At 38.3% G+C, this 20,703-nt stretch overlaps 1 protein-coding gene across 3 annotated transcripts in view; it reads left to right on the forward strand.

Moving 5' to 3' along the window:
* The window catches only part of UNC80 (unc-80 subunit of NALCN channel complex), a 227,465-nt gene that overhangs the window by 5,108 nt on the left and 201,654 nt on the right, over positions 1–20,703 (forward strand). For all 3 annotated transcript variants that reach the window (NM_032504.2, NM_001371986.1, NM_182587.4), the window contains exons 4-7: positions 319–620; positions 9,127–9,250; positions 12,593–12,666; positions 16,781–16,920. In NM_032504.2, coding sequence (NP_115893.1) covers positions 319–620; positions 9,127–9,250; positions 12,593–12,666; positions 16,781–16,920 — 640 coding nt within the window. The remainder of the gene's footprint in view (positions 1–318; positions 621–9,126; positions 9,251–12,592; positions 12,667–16,780; positions 16,921–20,703) is intronic.

Below are 20,703 nucleotides of genomic sequence, written 5' to 3' on the forward strand. Positions count from 1 at the left end.
TTCTAGGTCACATTGTCTAAAATAGGATTGCTTTTATCTTCAGAGTCTATATTTTTAACCACTACGCTGCCTATTTGGAAATATATTTGGGTACCTAACTGAAGAAAAGTGATTCAGCAGTTTCTGCCCCCATGGCAGCATATCATTCTGCAGAGATTGCGGCCAGTAGGGAAGTCCAAAAAGCAAGAATGAGCCCTGCTAGCAGTGGTTGTAAGAAGTATAGAGAAAGGAGGGATATTCTTCCCAGACCCATTGTTGACATCTATTGCCCTGGTCACAGAGTTTTTCTTAACCTGCCTGTGTAATTGTCCCATGCAGGCCACCAGGATAAATTGGGTGTTGCTGAGACAAAGCTCCTTCACACTCTACACTGGATGCTTCTGGAGGCCCCCCAGGACTGCAACAATGAGCGGTTTGGGGGTACAGACCGAGGCTCCAGCTGGGGTGGAAGCAGCAGTGCTTTCATCCACCAGGTTGAAAACCAGGGTTCTCCAGGGCAGCCTTGCCAAAGCAGCTCTAATGACGAAGAAGAGAACAACCGAAGAAAGATCTTCCAGAACTCCATGGCTACTGTGGAGCTCTTCGTGTTTCTGTTTGCTCCCCTGGTACACAGGATCAAGGTAAGCAGAAACCCAGTGTTAGAGCTGGAGTGGGTGGAGATGTGGTGAGGGTAGACTTCAAATGATATTTCCATATTTGGTTGGGCATGTCTTTGTATGACCTTACAGCAAGTCAAGGCATGGAGAACTTTATTTCTGTGTTAAACTACTGAACATTGCTTCAAAAACACAAATTTCCACAAAGCCTTTACCTACTTAAAAATCTTCAGTGGTTCTCCCTCTGCCTCATGATAATGCCCAACATATTAAGCATAGAATAAAAGGTCAAGCATGATGTAGGGTTTAAATTGCTTTCTTGATTTATAGACTGTTGGTCCCTACTGGCCACCTCATGATCCAGCATTTGAAACCATGACAGCCATTCCCTGAATATGCCCTTGCTGATTGCTCTATTCTCCTTTCCCCGCTCTATTCCTGTCATAGTCCTCAAAATGCAACTTTAATATCATATTTAACATGAAGCTATTCCTTAGACCTCACCATCTAGACTTCATTCCTACCCCCTTTGCATTTTTATAGCATCTTGTAACTACCTCTCTTATAATACAGGGTCTAAGTTTTAGCCAGGCGCGGTGGCTCACACCTGTAATCCCAGAACTTTGGGAGGCAGAGGCAGGTGAATCACTTGAGGTCAGGAGTTCCAGGCCAGCCTGGCCAACATGGCAAAACTCCATCTCTAATGAAAATACAAAAATTAGCCAGGCGTAGTGCACATCTGCAGTCCCAGCTACTCGGGAGGCTGAGGCAGGAGAATCTCTTGAACCTGGGAGGCACAGGCTGCAGTCAACCTAGATCGTGCCACTGTACTCCAGCCTGGGTGACAAAGCGAGACTCTGTCTTAAAATGAAAAAAAAATAAGTTTTAACTTTTTATGTTCTATGGACTTTTAGACAGTAGGGTATAGCCTAAGAATTGCTTTTTAAAATATTTTTAAATGCTTAAAATACAAAACATAGGATTACATGGAAACCAGTTATCTCAAAATACAATCATATCCACTTGGAGGAGACAATATAATTTGAAATCACTGTGCCATCACTTTTTAGCTGTGTGATTTTGTTGATATTACTTAACCCCTCAGTTGCTCTAACACGGGGTGAATATATATGTAAGACACACACTGCAGTTCCAATGCATGAAAAGAAATCAAGAACTATTCGTTACTTCTGTGAATGAATAAATTAACAAATTTCACTTAAGTGCTAAGATAAGAATTGACATGTTCATCTGCTCTTTAATAGAATATTATAACCCAGTGAATGGATCAAGTTAGCAGTGGTTCAAGTTAGTAATATATTTATGAAGGTGGTTGTGAACATTAACAGTCACCATGAAGGGAACAGACTAGTGAGTATTTTCATTCATTTTTAGTTTCCTAAAAAATTCACTTTCCATTAACTCTGTCCATTGCTAGGAGAAATAGATTTGAAACCACCTATAAATTCCCAAAATGCAACACATACACTGGCCACATTGCCCATCAAACATACTAAACTCTTTAGGTGTCAAGTCAAATTAACTTGCCATTTTAAAATCTCTAGCTTCCCATTTTAAAGTATTTTATACAGGTGATACTTAGTAGGAAGCACTGCTTTAATAGGGACTGTCCACCTGGCCTGTGAGCTCTGCAGGACCTACCCCTGTGCACCTCCTGGGCCTCATCTCCCTCTATCTCACTGGCCTTTCTCTCATTCACTAACCATCTTCAGGCTTGTGGGATTCTCACCCTCAAACTTGACAAGTGCATTTTTGTGTTCAGATCCTTACACTGTTTTTTTCAACTTGAAACACTGACCCTACCTTCTACACTCAGATTTTCACATAGCCATGTACTTGTCATTGGTTTACTCAGAACTCAAATGGCAACACTTCAGAAAGTACTTCCCTGGCTACTCTCGAGCAACTAGCATGCTATCCTACATTTTTTTCCTTGTTAGCACTTACAAGTACCTGGAATTATTTATGCATTTGTCTGCATGTTTGTTGCCCTTCACCCTCACTGAACAGAGGTCCTTGAGTGAAGGGAGTCTGCCTGTCCTGGTGACAGCTGTATCTCTAGTGTCTCAAATAGTGTCTGTCATATATGAGACTCTCAATAAATATTTAATGACTGACACACTGAGTAGACTTGTCATTATTGGAAGCTGATCCAAGTGCTAAAAACAGCATTTTTAGAAATGAAGCCTTTAAAATGGAGAGGACAGGAAACAAGTCTTCTTTAAAAGTAGCCCAAAAAAGATGTTTATATGTTGACAAATATCACCTGGAAAAATGTGGGAATATAGGAGTGCCCAGGGTGGATGTAATTTTATTTTTAAGACATAGCTGTGAGTCTAAGTTTTGGAAACAGATAAGCCTGTATTTGAATCCAGTGCCTGCTGTGCTCTACTGTAAGACATTGAGCAAATAATTTATAAGCCTCCATTTTCTCAAGTATAAATTGGACCTAAGAATAAATTTATAGGGCATTGTGAAGATTAAACAAGTTATAGTATTCAACTTGATACAAAGAAATTCATTAACAAATGTTAGTTGTCTTTAGTGTTGGTATTTTATTGCTGCTGGTATTATGTATTATTAGTAGAAAAGGAGCAAGATCTCCCTTCAGGAGTGACTACTCAAATAATTCGAAAAGCTGACTTAAGACCCTCATGTTTAACTTATGGCTTGGGAATGGAGCATTTATAAAGGAGTAAGACAATTCATACAAAATACTACACAGTGATTGATATAAATAAACAATTATAGTTAGTGGTAATAATATATTTATCATTTTTATTATATTATCATTATAGTTTAATCATTTTGTCATTGCTATGGGGAAAGCATTGTTCTTGAAGCTGTAGAGAATAAAAAGCATTCAGTCAGTAATTTTGGCCACAAGGGCTTTTCTGTTTGAGAGATGTCTGGTTTTTTCAAGTTGTTGGGGAATGTACAATCTCTAGATCAGGATTTCTCAGCCTTGGCACTGTTGGCATTTGGGGCCAGATAATTCTTTGTTATGGGACACTGTCCTATGCATTGTAGGATATTTAGTACAATCTCTGGCCTCCATCCATTAGATGCCAGTAACACCCCATTGCTCCTGAGTTGTGCCAACCACAGATGACTCCAGATGTTGCCAAATGTTCACAGGTGGGTGTGTGGGAGGGAATTGGTCCTGATTGAGAGCCACCGCCTTACATCTTTCATTTGCCTGCCGTTATCAGGTTCTGTTGGAGCCTATGGTCTTTCCCTACCCATGTAAACTTCCCCTCACCAGCACCATTAACATCCTTTAATCCCTATGCTTCTTTGCAGTTGCCTTTCATGACTCCAACTCCAGATCAAGACCAAAATTCACATTTTCTATCCCTACCCAGAAATCTGCATGCTGCTGGGGAAACCACACAACCATTCAGACTAATGTTTCTGCAACGCTGTAGTCTCTAAACCCAGTGTGCTGCGCTGCCCAGCTTGTCAGTCCTTTCCTTGATTTTTCCCCTCAGGTTCCCACTCAGCACTTAGTGTTGCAGGATGGGGCTTGTATAAGACATGGTGCTATAGGAGGCATGGGAAGCCAACATGTAATCAAAGCATGAACCCATGCCTCCATATCCTCACCTCCCATTTACTTACTCTTCAATCTCTTATTCTTGCTTCTATTTGCCTCTATTATGTGACAGAAAATTTTCACTGCCATTTCTAATTTTTACAACTACCCACAGGGATGTGTGTATCTTTGTCTCCATTTTACCAAGAGGGAAATTGAGATCCAGAGAGATAATAGTAAAGACTGTGAGTAACCAAGATGGAATTCAAACCCAATCCTATCTGATTTTCTACAAAACTACACTGTTTTTTAGGTTTCTGTACCAGAGTTGTTTTTCTTTTCCACTCAGGTCATGAACAACTTCTGAGTTGTTGAATCTAATCTCTATTTGCAGCCCTCATTTCATTAAACCTCAGCTGCATTTAAAACTATCATCATGCCCTCTTCTTGAAAGGTTCAGTTCTCCTGATGACACCACACCCTTCTGGTTCTTCTTGCATCTCTGACTCTGTCTGTTCTATCTCTATTGAGAGCTCATCTTTGTTGTCTGCCGCTTTAACATTGGGGGTCCCCAGAGATGCATTCTTGACACTTTGTTCTTCTCACTCTCCTTTCTGCTAGGAAGACTTCCTCTGACTTCATTTACCATGTGTATCCTGCAGGCTGAGGTCACCTAATTATATATTTCAAATCCAGGCTCCTATCTTTGCCTCTAGAACAAATTGTCAAATGACTTTTCCAAATAAATAATCCATGGGAAATTCAAACTTCACCTGTAATGAGCCCCGTCCCTAGATTCTATATTTTAGATAATGGATGTATTCACAAAAACTCAAACTACCTTTCACTATCCCTCATCCTTACTTGCACATTCCACTAATCACAGAGTCCCACTCATTTTTTCTCCTAAATATTGCCCAAATTTATTACATATTTTTCATCCCTACTTACTACCTTAACCCAAGCTTGTATCATATCTTACATGGACCCTTTACTTGAGCCACTTTCTAACTAGATTCAGTCTCCTGGCTTGTCTCATAAAATCTAACCTCAACACCAAGGTGACCTATCAAAAATGTAGACAATATCACCAACATACTTAAAATAATTTGTTAATTTCTCGTCATACAGAGAGTACAACTCCAGCTTCTTAGTCTGGTAAACTGGGCCCTCTATGACCTGTCTGACTACTTCTCCTGTCTGTGAACTCCAGATGTTTGAAGTCTCTCCAAGAACATAACATACTTTTTTTCAGATCTTTTCTCATGTTGTTCTTGCTGACCGGAATGCCCTCATACCTCACTTCTCTTTCTAGTAAACTCCTACTTATCCTTTAGGACTTCATTTGAGATCCATCTTTCCCTCTTTCTCTATTTCCATAATATTCTAGGTACAGCTTTATTGTTATACTTTGTTTATTATCATCCCTTTATGTGGCTTTCTCCCCTACTAGATTCTAAATGGTCTGTTTGTAGGAATTATCATTGTACCCGTGGTAGCTAACATAGTATCTGTGTTTAATAGGTATTTAATTAATATTAAGTGAATAAATTAGTTCACTAATTTGTAAATAAATCTAATATAAATGACTCATCCTTTTGTAACACAGTGTATTATTCAATGCATATTTTATATTTTTTAATTTATAATTAGCTCAAATAGTTTATATAAAATTCAGTCTGAAAATCCTGTTTAATATATTATTAATTTTAGACCAAATTTAATTTTATCAGTGAAAAATGACGAATATTTGTTAAACTAAGGCATCTTCTTTAAATATGGTATCAACATTGTCATGATTTTGCCACATTCACTTATTTTTTTTTTTTCAACAAATTCTTATCAAGTGCCTGCTGTATGCTAGCTACTGTTCAATGTGCTGGAGAAACAGCAAGAAATAAAACAAAAAGCAAGCCCTTCAGGGGATTTTAACCAATCCATATGTGTAAAGTAAACAACTTTAAAATGGAACTTAAAATAATAGTTGTTTCTTTAAATCTCTGTAAGCTACTAGTAAATACATTCAGAATTGCTTTATGACATCCTGGAAACAGATTCTCAGTGAAAGCAAGAAAAGCATCTGAAATGTGGGGATATTGCCTCTACGTGTACTTACACTTCTGGTTTTCTCAGGATCCTTCTAGACTACCTGCTTTACAACTGTTTGAATGATAAAGAGTGTCCTCTCCAGTTATTGAGTTTCTGCTTGTGTATGTATACATAGCATTGTGTGTTCCATTAAAAGAAACTCTGGAAGAGACATTAGAGGCCCAGAGTTTATACATTTATCCAAGTTAGGAAGACTTACAAAGGAAGATACCAACACAAGAGAAGGCCACAGGTGCTACAGGCATTCAGGTCTGAAGAGTGATTGGATTTATTTGGAGAAGGTAAAACATGTTCAATTAATGAACATATTAGTTTGGTATTGTACTGATGCTCCAGGAAATGCACAGAAGAAGGAGATCTCAACTTGTATTCAAGAAATATACAATCTACTTGGAGATGTATTTAGTAAAACAAAATGATGACCATGACAGTCAGTGAGTGCTGTGTCATGCTAATAGATCAGATGTTAAAGCCCAGGATTTCAGTATAAGAGAGATCACTCCCTGCTGCAGTTTCCACAGGAGTTTTACTTGTGTTAAGATTTCTCATGAGAAACATGGAAAAGGACTGAACTCAGAAACTAATCAATAAAACCAGGTCAATTGAGGTTTGGCTTCCTGTATTTGTAGAGACAAATCTGATAAGATTTGCTTAATGTTAATTTCCTGCTTCTACATACAATACCATGCAGACCTCCTCGTGTCCATTTCAAGGGAATTTGGGTTACTCTTCTCTTAACTCCACAGCTGTCTGTCTAAGTGCTTACTCGGTATCTCTAGCTTAATGTTCAACAGATATCTCAAACTTAACATGTCTAAAACTAGGCTTCTGAAATCCCCAAACCTGCTCCTCCTTCATCTTACCTATCTTTCTTAATCGTGAAGCCAAAAATCCTTGACAACTTTTTCTCTCACACTCCACTTCCAGACTATTAGCAATTTCTGTAAGCTGTGTCTTCAAAATGCATTGAGAATCTACCACTTCTCATTTTGCCCTCTATTAGTACCCCCATCTAATCATCTTTCACCTATATAACAATAGCTTCCAAAATAGTCTATTCTTTCACTGTTGCCCTTTCTCAAACTATTCTCAACAGCCTGAGTGAACCTATTAAAATATATATCCAGTCATGTCACTCTGCTACTTGAAACCTTCAGTGGCTTCTCATCTTAATAATTGCTAAAGTCCTTATCAAGACCTATCAGGCAGTATATTATTTGACACTCAATGACTTCTCCAATTTTATTTTTTTTTCTGCTTTTCTCACATTCACTTGACTCTGGGCACACAGTCTCTTGGCTGTTTCTGAACACACTAGGCACACTTAGGGCCTTTGTGTTTGCTGATCCTCTTTCATGGAATACTTTTCCTGGAGATAGCTACATGACAGCTCCTTCATTTTGTTCAGAACTTTACTCAAAAGTCACTTTCTCAATAAGGCTTCACCTGATCCTCTGGTCTAAAATGACAACACTTTGTCTGACACAGCCCTTCACTTCCTCTCTGCACTACGAACAGAGATTTTTGTATGCCTTGTTCACTGTTGTATTTAAAACCTAGAATAGTACCGGGTATATGGTAGGTGCTCTATAAATGTTTACAGAATAAATGCAGAATGAATTTAGCCAAATGCTTTATGTGCTTTTCTAATACTTCCACAGGGAATTCTAAAGACTTTCCCATTGTGGGAACCATGTGGCTCTGTTGCCAAGTGGTGTCAGAATCCCAGTCTAGCCTTTAGGTTTCTTTTCACTAGGTACAGAGTTGCTTTTGTTTTTCTATTTTTCCAGTTGCTTCTGAGTTCTTTTCCTTCCATCCCAATGGTTTTCAACCTCAGCTATGTGTGAGAGTCATCAGGGGGATCTTTAGAAAATCTCTCAGGATTCTAATTTAATGGGTCTGGGTAGGAGAGGTAAGTGATACCTGGGCCTCTTAGATTTAAAAGCTCCCCTGGTGATTATAATATGCAAGCTGGGGTTGCAAATCACTGCTCTAAGTGAGTTCCTGGGTCTCAGATGTATTCGTTAATCTGTGATCACATTCTCTGCTTCTATCTTTACATTGTTTTGAGAGACTGAAGTGTTTAAGATATAATCTCAGAATGTCATGTATTTGTACTTATACAATATGATAGCAGAGGATATGCTCTTGAAAGATACTTTAAATCATAGATAAACTGAGTGAGCATGGGTTGTAAAGTCAGCCCTATTCAGCAAGTATTTATTGAGTATCTGTTGTGTACCCAGTTCCTAATGCTATGTTAAACATTGTGATGATGCTCGGGGCTGAGAGGGAAGGAGGATGCTTGATTTATCCTTGCCCTCAAGAAATTAAAGGTTGTTAAGAAGACAACATTACAAAATAATACACTATGAAGGGTCAAATTATATGTGCCTGATTCCATAAAATGTAAGAAAAAAGATGGACTGGACAATAGAATGTCAAAATAGCCAGTATCTGAGTATTTTGCCTTATGAGGGAGAATAAGGACAACTAAAAAATTAAGAGGAATGATAATAATAACCAAAGTGAAGAGATCTGCCAAGGCTCCTGAAATAAACAAGTTTCAATCACTGCAAACACAAAACAATAGTTTGTGTATCCCATGCTTTGCCCAAAGCTATGTTTTGATTGGTCATTAATTTTGGATAAAGCAGACAGCTGGGATTTTCATAGTAATTGCAGTGATAACTTTGGGTCATTGGTTTACTCTAGAAACATTCATCTGACTAATGAGAGAAGGTTTGGCAGATAAATTCACTCTGAAAATAACCTTGTGAGTGATGTTAATCCTTGCATTGATTGGTCCCTTTAAGCAGCTGTTACATGTCAGTTATTGGACATATATCTTCTCCTCCCCCCTAGGAATCTGACCTCACCTTCCGTCTGGCCAGTGGGCTTGTTATATGGCAGCCCATGTGGGAACACAGACAGCCCGGAGTCTCTGGCTTTACCGCACTGGTGAAGCCCATCAGGAACATCATTACAGGTTTGTAACTTGGACACTCAGTAGGACAGTATTAGCAGATTCCCTCACACACAGTAGTTAGAGTGATGGGATAATTTGCCCCTAAGAAGTCAAAAAGAAGCAAATATCTACATGTAGTTATTTAAGTGTCCTGATATAGGGCTTACTCACATGAGGAGAAACTACTCTGAATCAAGAGCATGGACTTTGGGCAATTCATTTAGACTTCCTGTGCCTCAGCTTCCTCATCTGTAAACTGGGAATTTAAATATCATATTAATACTACTTACAAGATTGTTATGAGGAATGGAGCTAATATATGTAAAACTGCTTAGAAGAATGTCTGGCACATAGTAAGTGGCAGCTGCGATTATTATTATTATTATGTTATCATCATCATCATGGTAAATGGAGCAGGGGCTCCTTAACAAAATCATCTTAGTGTTGTATTGTTATCAAAGCATTTCTCTTCAGGAATTATCTAATGAAATAGTCCCACTGTTCAACTGTAGAAAGAACACAACATCATAGATTGAAAAGTGCATAGCAGGCTCACACTGTCTACCTCCAAGTCTCCAAATCTATCTCTTACTATGTATATAACCTAACTTTCCTAAGCATTTCCATTTATGTAAAATTGAGGTGATAATGCCACCTTATAGGGCTTTTTAGTAAGAAGTAAATGAGAGTGCATTAAGTGCCTGCTTTATAGTAAGTGCTTAATAAATTCTAGTCTTCTATTCCCAACTCTATTTTTAGTATTAATAATAAAATTTAAAAAGAAATAAATTATGTGGAAAATCTACAGAAGCATATATATATATATATATATATATATATATATATATATACCTATATATTTTTAAAATACACCACACACATATATATAATTTGCTTAATTCATAAGGGTTTTGTGCAGACAATGGACAATCTTTTTTATTAACATATAAGCTATAATTTAACACATATATAAAAACTACTAAGAAACCAGACTCAGCTTAGACAGCATGGCCAGAAGAAAAAGCAATGGCACATGGTGATCTTGATAAATCACCTTCCTTCTCGGCACCAGTTTACTCACAATTTGAATGAGACATTGCCATCTTAGTTTCCCACTGTTCCTGGTCCTCAGATAAAGATGTAACTGATTTGAATTTTACCTCCAGGATAGCTTTATGTAATAGTTAAAGCACAGACTCTAAAGTTAGTCTGGGCTATAACCTTCATGCAAGGGTCAAGTGACCTTGGGCAAGTTTAACTCACTGTGTCTTAGTTTCTTACCCTGTAAAATTGGCATAATAATATGGTAGTATTATTGAGTTATTTTAAGGGTTAAATGAGTTATAGTTTTGCGCCACATAACAGCATTTTGGTCAATGACTGTGTTTACAACAGTAGTCCCATAAGATCATAATGGAGCTGAAAAACTCCTGTCACCTAGTGGTCTCGTAGCCATGGTAACATAGTGCAAGGCATTACTCATGTGTTTGTGGTGATGCTGGTTTAAACAAACCTACCGCGCTGCCTGTTTTATAAAAGTATAGCCCATACAATTATATACGCACATAATACTTTATAATAATAACCAACAAGTATATAACTGGTTTATGTATTTACTATACCATACTTTTCATTGTTATTTTAGAATATATTTCTTCTACTCCTACTACCTATTTTTATTATTTTTAAAAAGTTAACTGTAAAACAATCTTAGGCAGGTATTTTAGGAGATGTTCCAGAAGAAGGCATTGTTATCATAAAAGATGACAATTCCATGTGTGTTATTGCCCCTGAAGACCTTCCTTTGGGACAAGACATGAAGGTGGAAGACAGTGATACAGATGATCTTGATGCCGGGTAGGCCTAGGCTAATGTGTGTGTTTGTGTCTTGTTTTTAACCAAAAATAGGAATGCCTGGCACATAATGAGTAAGCAGTAGCTGCACTTGTTTTAAAACAAAAAAGTTGGCCGGGCGCGGTGGCTCACGCCTGTAATCCCAGCATTTTGGGAGGCCGAGGTGGGCGGATCACCTGAGGTCAGGAGTTAGAGACCAGCCTGACCCACACGGAGAAACCCCATCTCTATTAAAAATACAAAATTAGCTGGGCTTGGTAGCGCATGCCTATAATCCCAGCTACTTGGGAAGGCTGAGGCAAGAGAATCGCTTGAACCTGGGAGGTGGAGGTTGCGGTGAGCAGAGATCGCACCATTGCACTCCAGCCTGGGCAACAAGAGCAAAACTCCATCTCAAAAAAAAAAAAAGTTTTAAAAAAAAGTATAAAATAAGTACATACGTTTATAAGTATATAAAAAGCATAAAATATACTTTTATACTTTTTAATACATACTATACATACTACATACTAGTATATATAATAATATATACTATAAAATATATTAAAAGTATAAAATATAAAAAATATACAAATAAAAGTAAAATAAATATATAAATTTATAAATATATGACTATATTAAAAAGCTTATAGAATAAAGTTATAAAGAAATCACATATTTTTGTGCAGCTGTATTATGTATTTGTTTTAAGCTAAGCCTATTACAAAAGAGTCAAAAAGTTTAAAAAACTAAAAAGTTTATAAAGTAAAGTTATAGTAAGCTAAAGTTAATTTATTATTAAAGAATAAAAGCTTTTTAAAGATAAATTTAGCATTGCCTTCATATTCACTCACTACTCACTCACTGACTCACCCAGAGCAACACCCATTCCTGCAAGCTCCATTCATGGTAAGTGCTCTATATAGGTGTATAATTTGTTATCTTTTATACTGTATTTTTACTGATATTTTCTATGTTTAGATACACAAATACCATTGTGTTATAAATGCCTACAGGATTCAATACAGTAACATACTGTACAGGTTTGTAGCCTAGAAGCACTAGGCTATGTCATATAGCCTAGATGTGTAGGTGGCCATACCATCTAGGTTTGTGTAAGTAAACTCTATGATGTTTGCACAATGATGAATTTGCCTAACAACACATTTCTCAGAACGTATCTTTGTCCTTAAGTGATGCATGACTGTATATGTAAAATGCTTAGGAACTTTGCATATATTAGGTGCTGAGTAGGTGTTAACTATTATTGTTATTTTCAGTATTGCCAACTTTTTAGCACCTTAACTTACTGAGTCAGACTGAAGAGATGAATATCTACATCAATAACCAAAAAAATGCTAAGATTTTTGAATTGGTTATTTGAATATCTCTTACAATATGCGTTAATGTCTTCTTTTAAAGTAATAATGTTCTATTAAAATAGCTTTTCTATTTGAAAATGAAATGAACTTATGAAATAAAAAGAACTTAAAACCTTACAAAACGATGGAACTTCTTCCGTCTTTTCAGCTAAGAGAAGTTCTCCTATCAACAGTCAAAGCCGGACCTGTGAATCACCAAATCAAGATGCAAGACACTTAGAGGTTAGTTTATTATAATCATAAGAAGAAGGGAGGCAGAAAGTCCTTGGACATAGTGTAGTGTGAAGGGAAAGACATGAGTTCTAGAATCACTACCAGGCTCAAAGCCACTCCTCCTTTCTGAATGTGCAACTTTTAACAGCTTCAGGTTTTTTATCAGTCGTATGAAAATTAATTTTCTGTATCTCCCCAAAGCGTGCAGGTGTGGAAATAAGACCATATACGACTAGTATTTTATCTCGGTGGTTAGTGTGTAATGAGTTGTGCTTTATCTCAATGGCTAACATGTAACACTCAATAAGTGTTAGTTATCATTACATCCCAGATTAAATAACATATCACCTTGTTCTCAATTATTGCATCCCCTAATGCTTGTTAAGTAACTCTAATGTAGGTAGAATAATGCTGCCGGAGGTCAGAAAGAGGGAGTTGGAAGGAGTTATAAGATAGTCCTACCCCTTAAGGAATCTAAAGTTTAATGAGGGGTCAAGACTAACCCACATAAAACGGAAGATGCAAAATATGATATAAGATGCAGAATGTAATTCAGTGCAAATTTGTCATGTTTGATCAAGAAAAGAAAGGAATGAAGTCCGGAGTAATTGAAAGCTACATAGAAATCGATACTACCATTAACTTATGGCATTAAATGACCTGCTTTCACTTTCAATTCAACACGTGCAAAGTGAAACTTGCTGCCTTCCGTCAAAATTGGATCCTCTTTCCAACTGTTATTACTCAGGAAGATTATCACCCTTTTTACCCTCCAACCTGGAAATTTTGGAGTCCTATTACATCTACCATTTAGTGAGCAATTACTAAGTACAGACGCTGTGATTTGTATGCTGTAAGATGTATATATTTTTCACATTTAACATCTTTGAAATTGAGTATGCTTGACAATCTTTGGCCCCTTATGATCTCCCTACTGGTAGCTGTCTTGATATGGTTGTAATTCTTGTGCAGCATGAATTTGGTCATTTCCAGCATCTAAATTTGCATCATCAGGGTCAGTGGATTATAAGCATATGTCAGAGGGAATAGTGGAGCAGTATTTTAAGAGATAACACTCTTGATACAGAGGAGGTTATTCTTTGGAAAAACTCAAGTATTAACAATTCTGGGTTGAAAATTTTAAATGTGAAGGAGTTTTAGGAATACCTACACCAATTTATTTCACTTATACTTTCCTCTTACATAGACACAGGATGGAAATATAATTAAAAAGCTGTGCCTAAATAAATGTAAAATAGCTCTTTCAACTAGTATAAAATAAAAAATCCTCAATGATACAAGTAACATGTCCTAGTTTAATTAACAGGGTATTTTTTTCTTAATGTTACGTAAAATAATGGTATGTCTTCTAAATGATGACATCTTAGATACAATGAAATACATACATCTCATATTATGTTATACTTAATCCTCTCGATTTGATTTCCTGCTAAGTCATATTGTCTTCTTTTCGTTATGTTGCTCAGATGTTTTCTTTATTGTTTATGACCACTACTATCCTCTAAATCCAGGCCCTCATGACTAAATTGCAGCTGAACCTACCTAATTGAGTTTTATACTTCTAGACTTTTCTTCTTTGCATAAATACCACTAATAATTCCTGACTAATTTTCCTAATACATCATTTATTTATTAACTCACCATTCCACATAAGGCATTTTATGCAAATGCCATCTTTTGTCATGTCGCTTTCTCCTTAGGAACCTATAGTGGATCCTATTGACTGTCGCTGCAAGACCAAATTCCTCTCCCTGTTTTTTTTGTGCCTCCCACCACTTGGCACCACCTTTGTTAAGTGACCCTGTCTCTGATTATCCCTTCAGTCAGTTATCTATTATCTCTAACTTATAGTGCCTGCTCATTTTAGCCTCCAAATCCTTGCTCAAATTGTTTCCTCTAACTGGAATCTTCTCTTTCCTTCGTCTAAATTTTATCCTTTTAAGGACCAATTAAGATCTCAATTCAGGCTGAGGCGGGCAGATCACAAGGTCAGGAGATCAAGACCATCCTGGCTAACACGGTGAAACCCTGTCTCTACTAAGAATACAAAAAAATTAGCTGGGTGTGGTGGTGGACACCTGTGTCCCAGCTACTCAGGAGGCTGAGGCAGGAGAATGGCGTGAACCTGGGAGGTGGAGCTTGCAGTGAGCTGAGATCGTGCCACTGCACTCCAGCCTGGGCGACAGAGTGAGACTCCGTCTCAAAAAAAAAAAAAAAAAAAAAAAAAAAAAGATCTCAATTCCCAATTCCCCCTAAACTCTTGTCTTATTAGTCTAAGCCTGCACTGTCCAATATGATAGCCTCTAGGCCCATGTGGCTATTGAACACTTGAAATACAGCTAGTCTGAATTGACACTGTAAAATGTACATCAGATTTTGAAAATATAGTATAAAATAGAATGTAGACTTGGCATGGTGGCTCATACCTGTAATTCCAGCACTTTAGGAGGCTTAGGCAGGCAGATCACTTGAGCCCAGGAGTTTGAGACCAGCCTGGGCAATATGGCAAAACTCTGCTTCTACTAAAAATAGAAAAATGAGCGGGACATAGTGGCACATGCCTTTAGTCCCAGCTATTTGGGAGGCTAAGTGGAGAGGATCACCTGAACCTGGGACATGGAGGTTGCAATGATTCAAGATCACACCACTGCACTCCAGACTGGGTAAGCGAGACCCTGTCTTAAAAGAAAGAAGAAAAAAGTAAACATCTTAATACTTTTTTGTTTTGTTTTGTTTTGCTTTGTTTTTGAGACGGAGTCTCACTCTGTTGCCCAGGCTGGAGTGCAGTGGCGCGATCTTGGCTCACTGAAAGCTCCGCCTCCCGGGTTCATGCCATTCTTCTGCCTCAGCCTCCCGAGTAGCTGGGACTACAGGCGCCCACCACCGCGCCCAGCTAATTTTTTGTATTTTTAGTAGAGATGGGGTTTTACCATGTTAGCCCGGATGGTCTCGATCTCCTGACCTCGTGATCCGCCCACCTCTGCCTCCCAAAGTGCTAGGATTACAGGCATGAGCCACCGCGCCCGGTTCCATCTTAATACTTTTTATATTGATTCTATGTTGAAATGATAATTAGGGGTTAAAAAGAATATATTATTAAAAACAATTTCACCTGTTCCTTTTCACTATTTTTAATGTGGCCTCTACAAAATTTAAAATCAGATATGTGGCTGTTTGTGGCTTGCATTATCTTTCTATTGGACACGCTTCTCTGACCTATACTTACCTGTCTTGAGACATAACTGTAAGCTCATGAGTTTAAGGGTCAGATTCATCTAATTTTTTAAATCTCTAAATCACCTAACATTATGCTAAAGAATTTTATGGTCAACTTCAGAAGACTTAATTCATGAAATTTCTAGCTGTATTTATCTCTCTGTCCATCATGATTGAATAATGCCTTATTTTGTGTGTAAAAATTAAAATCGTAAGGGCTAACCTTCCAGATAGATTGTTGAGGGTCTTTATACTTTAGTAAAGAATTTCACCTATAATGCCTATGGAAAAATATCTCACATCACCTGGGCAGAATTACATTTATCAGCTAAATGTAATTAAAATAAGCTACCTGGTAACAGAACTGCTGAATGTGTACTTATAAATCAGAATAAAGGTCATTGTGTCCGATTAGAAAAGTGTATTGCATCTCTCCACTGATGAATGAAGGAAAAGTTAACCTTGTACTTCTGTTCTCATGTTCTGGCTTCAATCTGATTAGGTACTACTAACCTGGTGCTTCTATTTTAGCCTCATGCTTCTATTCAGTTCACCTCTGTATGATGAATTCTTGATGTGTAACTCTCCTATAGATACTGGGTATGGAGATGAAAAAGAAAATAATTAAGAATAAAATGAAATAAAATATATGAAATTACTTTGCCTGATGCTTGAAATGACACAGGTGATCCCTAGAAATCTGTTTCTATTCTCCCTGAGATGAAGTCAAAATCCCTTGGCCCATAATATCATAATTAACTATAGTGAAAAAAAGCCCATATATGGAACCATGTTGTAATATGGTAGCTAATTCTAGATGATATAGCTACAGGGGAAAACAAAAAACAAAAAACAAAACCTAATCTGCTATCTCTGCCTCCAAAAGGGACTCCAGGTGGTTTGTGAAACATTCCAGTCTGATTCCATCTCACCCAAGGCCACCATTTCAGGCTGTCACCGAGGAAACTCCTTTGATGGAAGTCTGTCCTCCCAAACTTCCCAGGAAAGAGGCCCATCACATTCCAGGTACCTGATTGCAATGTTAGGGACAAAATGTGTCACTGGTCACCAAAAATCAAATATGCATTTTTAACTACTTCGATAGCCTCTGTTCCTTAAAATATGTATTTGCATAATATGTGTATACATATTCTTGGTCAAAGTATAATTAATAATTGTAGAAATATGCTATGAATGGCTCTCCTTTAAACAAACTAGGGCGAAAGTGGAAAAGATGCTTCTGATTTAATGAGATGTCTGAATTAGGTGTTACTTAAAATGTTTAAGTGCAGAACTCAAATGATGCTATCAGAAGATTATGTTGCAGAGATGTTAAAGGATCTGTTTTAATATATAAGAATATTTTATACCGCTAGATCCTTGTATTAAAATTAGTGCTTCTAAATCACATAGGAATTTAAAAGTCTATTCTTTGTAAATATTCTAACCCTACCCTTGTTATTTGGTGCACATAGTGAATTTGCTTATAAACACCTTCTCCAGAAACAAGAAATAGTCTATTTCTTCTTATTACCAGTTGAAATTATGGACACCTGGAGTCATGAGGTTTGACACTCCACCTATGGGGCAAGAGCTCCTGAGACTATCTGTATATCCCTACTTTCAAATAAAATTATAGCCTAGTAATACATAGTATTTTAAAAGGGAACATTTTTAAGACTAGTTTTATTGAGGTGTAACTTACATACTATAAAATTAACCTATTTTAAGTTTACAGTTTTGTATGGTTTGGCTGTGCCCCACTAAATCTCAACTTGAATTGTATCTCCCAGAATTCCCACGTGTTGTGGGAGGGACCCAGGGGGAGGTAATTGAATCATGGGGGCCAGTCTTTCCCATGCTATTCTCGATAGTGAGTAAATCTCATGAGATCTGATGGGTTTATCAGGGGTTTCCACTTTTGTCTCTTCTTCATTTTTCTCTTGCCACCACCATATAAGAAGCACCTTTCACTTCCCACCATGATTCTGAGGCCTTCTCAGCCATGTGGAACTGTAACTCCAATTAAACTTACTTATGTTCCCAGTTTGGGGTATTTATCAGCAGCAAGAAAATGAACTAATATAGTAAATTGGTACCAGTAGAGTGGGGCATTGCTGAAAAGATACCCAAAAGTGTGGAAGCAACTTTGGAACTGGGTAACAGGCAGAGATTGGAACAGTTTGAAGAGCTCAGAAGAAGACAGGGAAGTGTGGAAAAGTTTGGAACTTTACCTAGAGACTTGTTGAATGGCTTTGCCCAAAATGCTGATAGCGACATAGACAATAAAACCAGGCTGAGGTGGTCTCAGATGGAGATGAGGAACTTGTAGGGAACTGGAGCAAAGGTGACTCTTGTTATGTTTTAGCAAAGAGACTGGTGGCATTTTGCCCCTGTCCTAGAGATTTGTGGAACTTTGAACTTGAGAGAGATGATTTAGGTTACCTGGCGGAAGAAATTTCTAAACAGCAAAGCATTCAAGAGGTGACTTGGGTACTGTTAAAGGCATTCAGTTTTAAAAGGGAAACAGAGCATAAAAGTTCAGAAAATTTGCAGCCTGACTATGCAACAGAAAAGAAAAACCAATTTTCTGGGGAGAAATTCAAGCCAACTGCAGAAATTTGCATAAGTAAGGAGCAAGGAGCCTAATGTTAATCCCCAAGACCATGGGGAAAATGTCTCCAAGCCATGTCAGAGACCTTCACAGCAGCCCCTCCCATCACAGGCCCAGAGGCCCAGGAGGAAAAAGCAGTTTCGTGGGCTGGGCCCAGGGTCCTCATGCTGTGTGCAGCCGAGGGACTTGGTGCCGTGGGTCCCAACTGCTCCAGCTGTGGCTGAAAGGGGCCAATGTACAGCTCAGGATGTGACTTCAGAGGGTGGAAGCCCCAAGTCTCAGTAGCTTCCATGTGGTGTTGAGCCTGCAGGTGCACAGAAGTCAAGAATTGAGGTTTGGGAACCTCCGCCTATATTTCAGAAGATATATGGAAACTCCTGGATGCCCAGGCAAAAGTTTGCTGCAGGTGCAGGGCCCTCATGGAGAACCTCTGCTAGGGCAGTGCAGAAGGGAAATGTGGGGTTAGAGGCCCCACACAGAGTCCCTAATGGAGTGCTGCCAGGTGGAGCTGTGAGAAGAGGGCCACTGTCCTCCAGACCCCAGAATGGTAGTTCCACTGACAGCTTGGATCATGCACCTGGAAAAGCCGCAGACACTCAACACCAGCCTGTGAAAGCAGCCGAGAGGGAGGCTGTACCCTCCAAAGCCACAGGGTGGAGCTGCCCAAGACCATGGGAACCCACCTCTTGCATCAGTGTAACCTGGATGTGAGGCCTGGAGTTAAAGAAGATCATTTTGGAGCTTTAAAGTTTGACTGTCCTGCTGGACTTTGGACTTGCATGCCCCCTGTAGCCCCTTTGTTTTGGCCAATTTCTCCCATTTGAAACGGCTGTGTTTACCCAATACCTGTACCCCCATTGTATCTAGGAAGTAACTAACTTGCTTTTGATTTTACAGGCTCATAAGCGCAGGGACTTGCCTTGTCTCAGATGAGACTTTGGACTGTGGACTTTTGGGTTAATGCTGAAATGAGTTAAGACTCTGGGAGACTATTGGGAAGGCATGGTTGGTTTTGAAATGTGAGGATATGAGACTTGGAGGCGCAAGGGGTGGAATGATATGGTTTGGCTGTGTCCCCACTAAATCTCAGCTTGAATGTTATCTCCCAGAATTCTCATGTATTGTGGGAGGGACCCATGGGGAGATTATAAAATCATGGGGGCCAGTCTTTCCTGTACTATTCTCATGATAAGTCTCAGTGAATAAGTCTCACGAGATCTGATGGGTTTATCAGGGGTTTCTTCTTTTGCTGCTTCTTCATTTTTCTCTTGCTGCCACCATGTAAGAAGTGCCTTTCACATCCTGCCATGATTCTGAGGCCTCCCCAGCCATGTGGAACTGTAAGTCCAATTAAACCTGTTTATATTCCCAGTTTCAGGTATTTCTTTATCAACAGCGTGAAAACGAACTAATACACAGTTTAATGATTTTTAGTAAATTTACAGAATTGTGCAACTACCACTACAATCCAATTTAAGAACATTTTCATCACCCGAAAATGTCCCTTGTGCCCATCCCTTGTGTCACTCCCATTCCCACACCCAGCCCCAGATAACCACTAATATACTTTTTATTTCTATTGGGTTGCATTTCTAGACATTTCATATAAATGAATTCATACAGTCTGTGGCCTTTTGAATCTGGCTTCTTTCACTTAGCATAATGTTTTTGAGATTTATCCACATTATAGCATGTATTAGTAATTCATTCCTTTGTATTGTTAAACAATATTCTTTTTTTTCCTTTATTTCTTCTAAAGAAACAAACAAACAAAAAAAATGAGACACGTGCAGAACATGCAGGTTTGTTACATAGGTATATGAGTGCCATGATGGTTTGCTGCACCTATTGACCTGTCCCCTAAGTTCCCTCACCTCACCCCCAACCCCACCACAGGCCCTGGTGTGTGTTGTTCCTCCTCTGTATCCATGTGTTCTCAATGTTCAACTCCCACTTATGAGTGAGAACATGTGGTGTTTGGTTTTCTGTTCCTGTGTTAGTTTGCTGAGGATGATGGCTTCCAGCTTCATCCATGTCCCTGCAAAGCACACGATCTCTTTCCTTTCTGTGGTTGCATACTATTCCATGGTATATATGTACCACATTTTCTTTATCCAGTCTATCATTGATGGGTGTTTGGGTTGGTTCCGTGTCTTTGCTATTGTAAATAGTGCTGCAATAAACATATGTGTGCA

The sequence above is a fragment of the Homo sapiens genome, chromosome 2 (genome assembly GCF_000001405.40).
Source record: "Homo sapiens chromosome 2, GRCh38.p14 Primary Assembly".
NCBI lineage: Eukaryota > Metazoa > Chordata > Mammalia > Primates > Hominidae > Homo > Homo sapiens.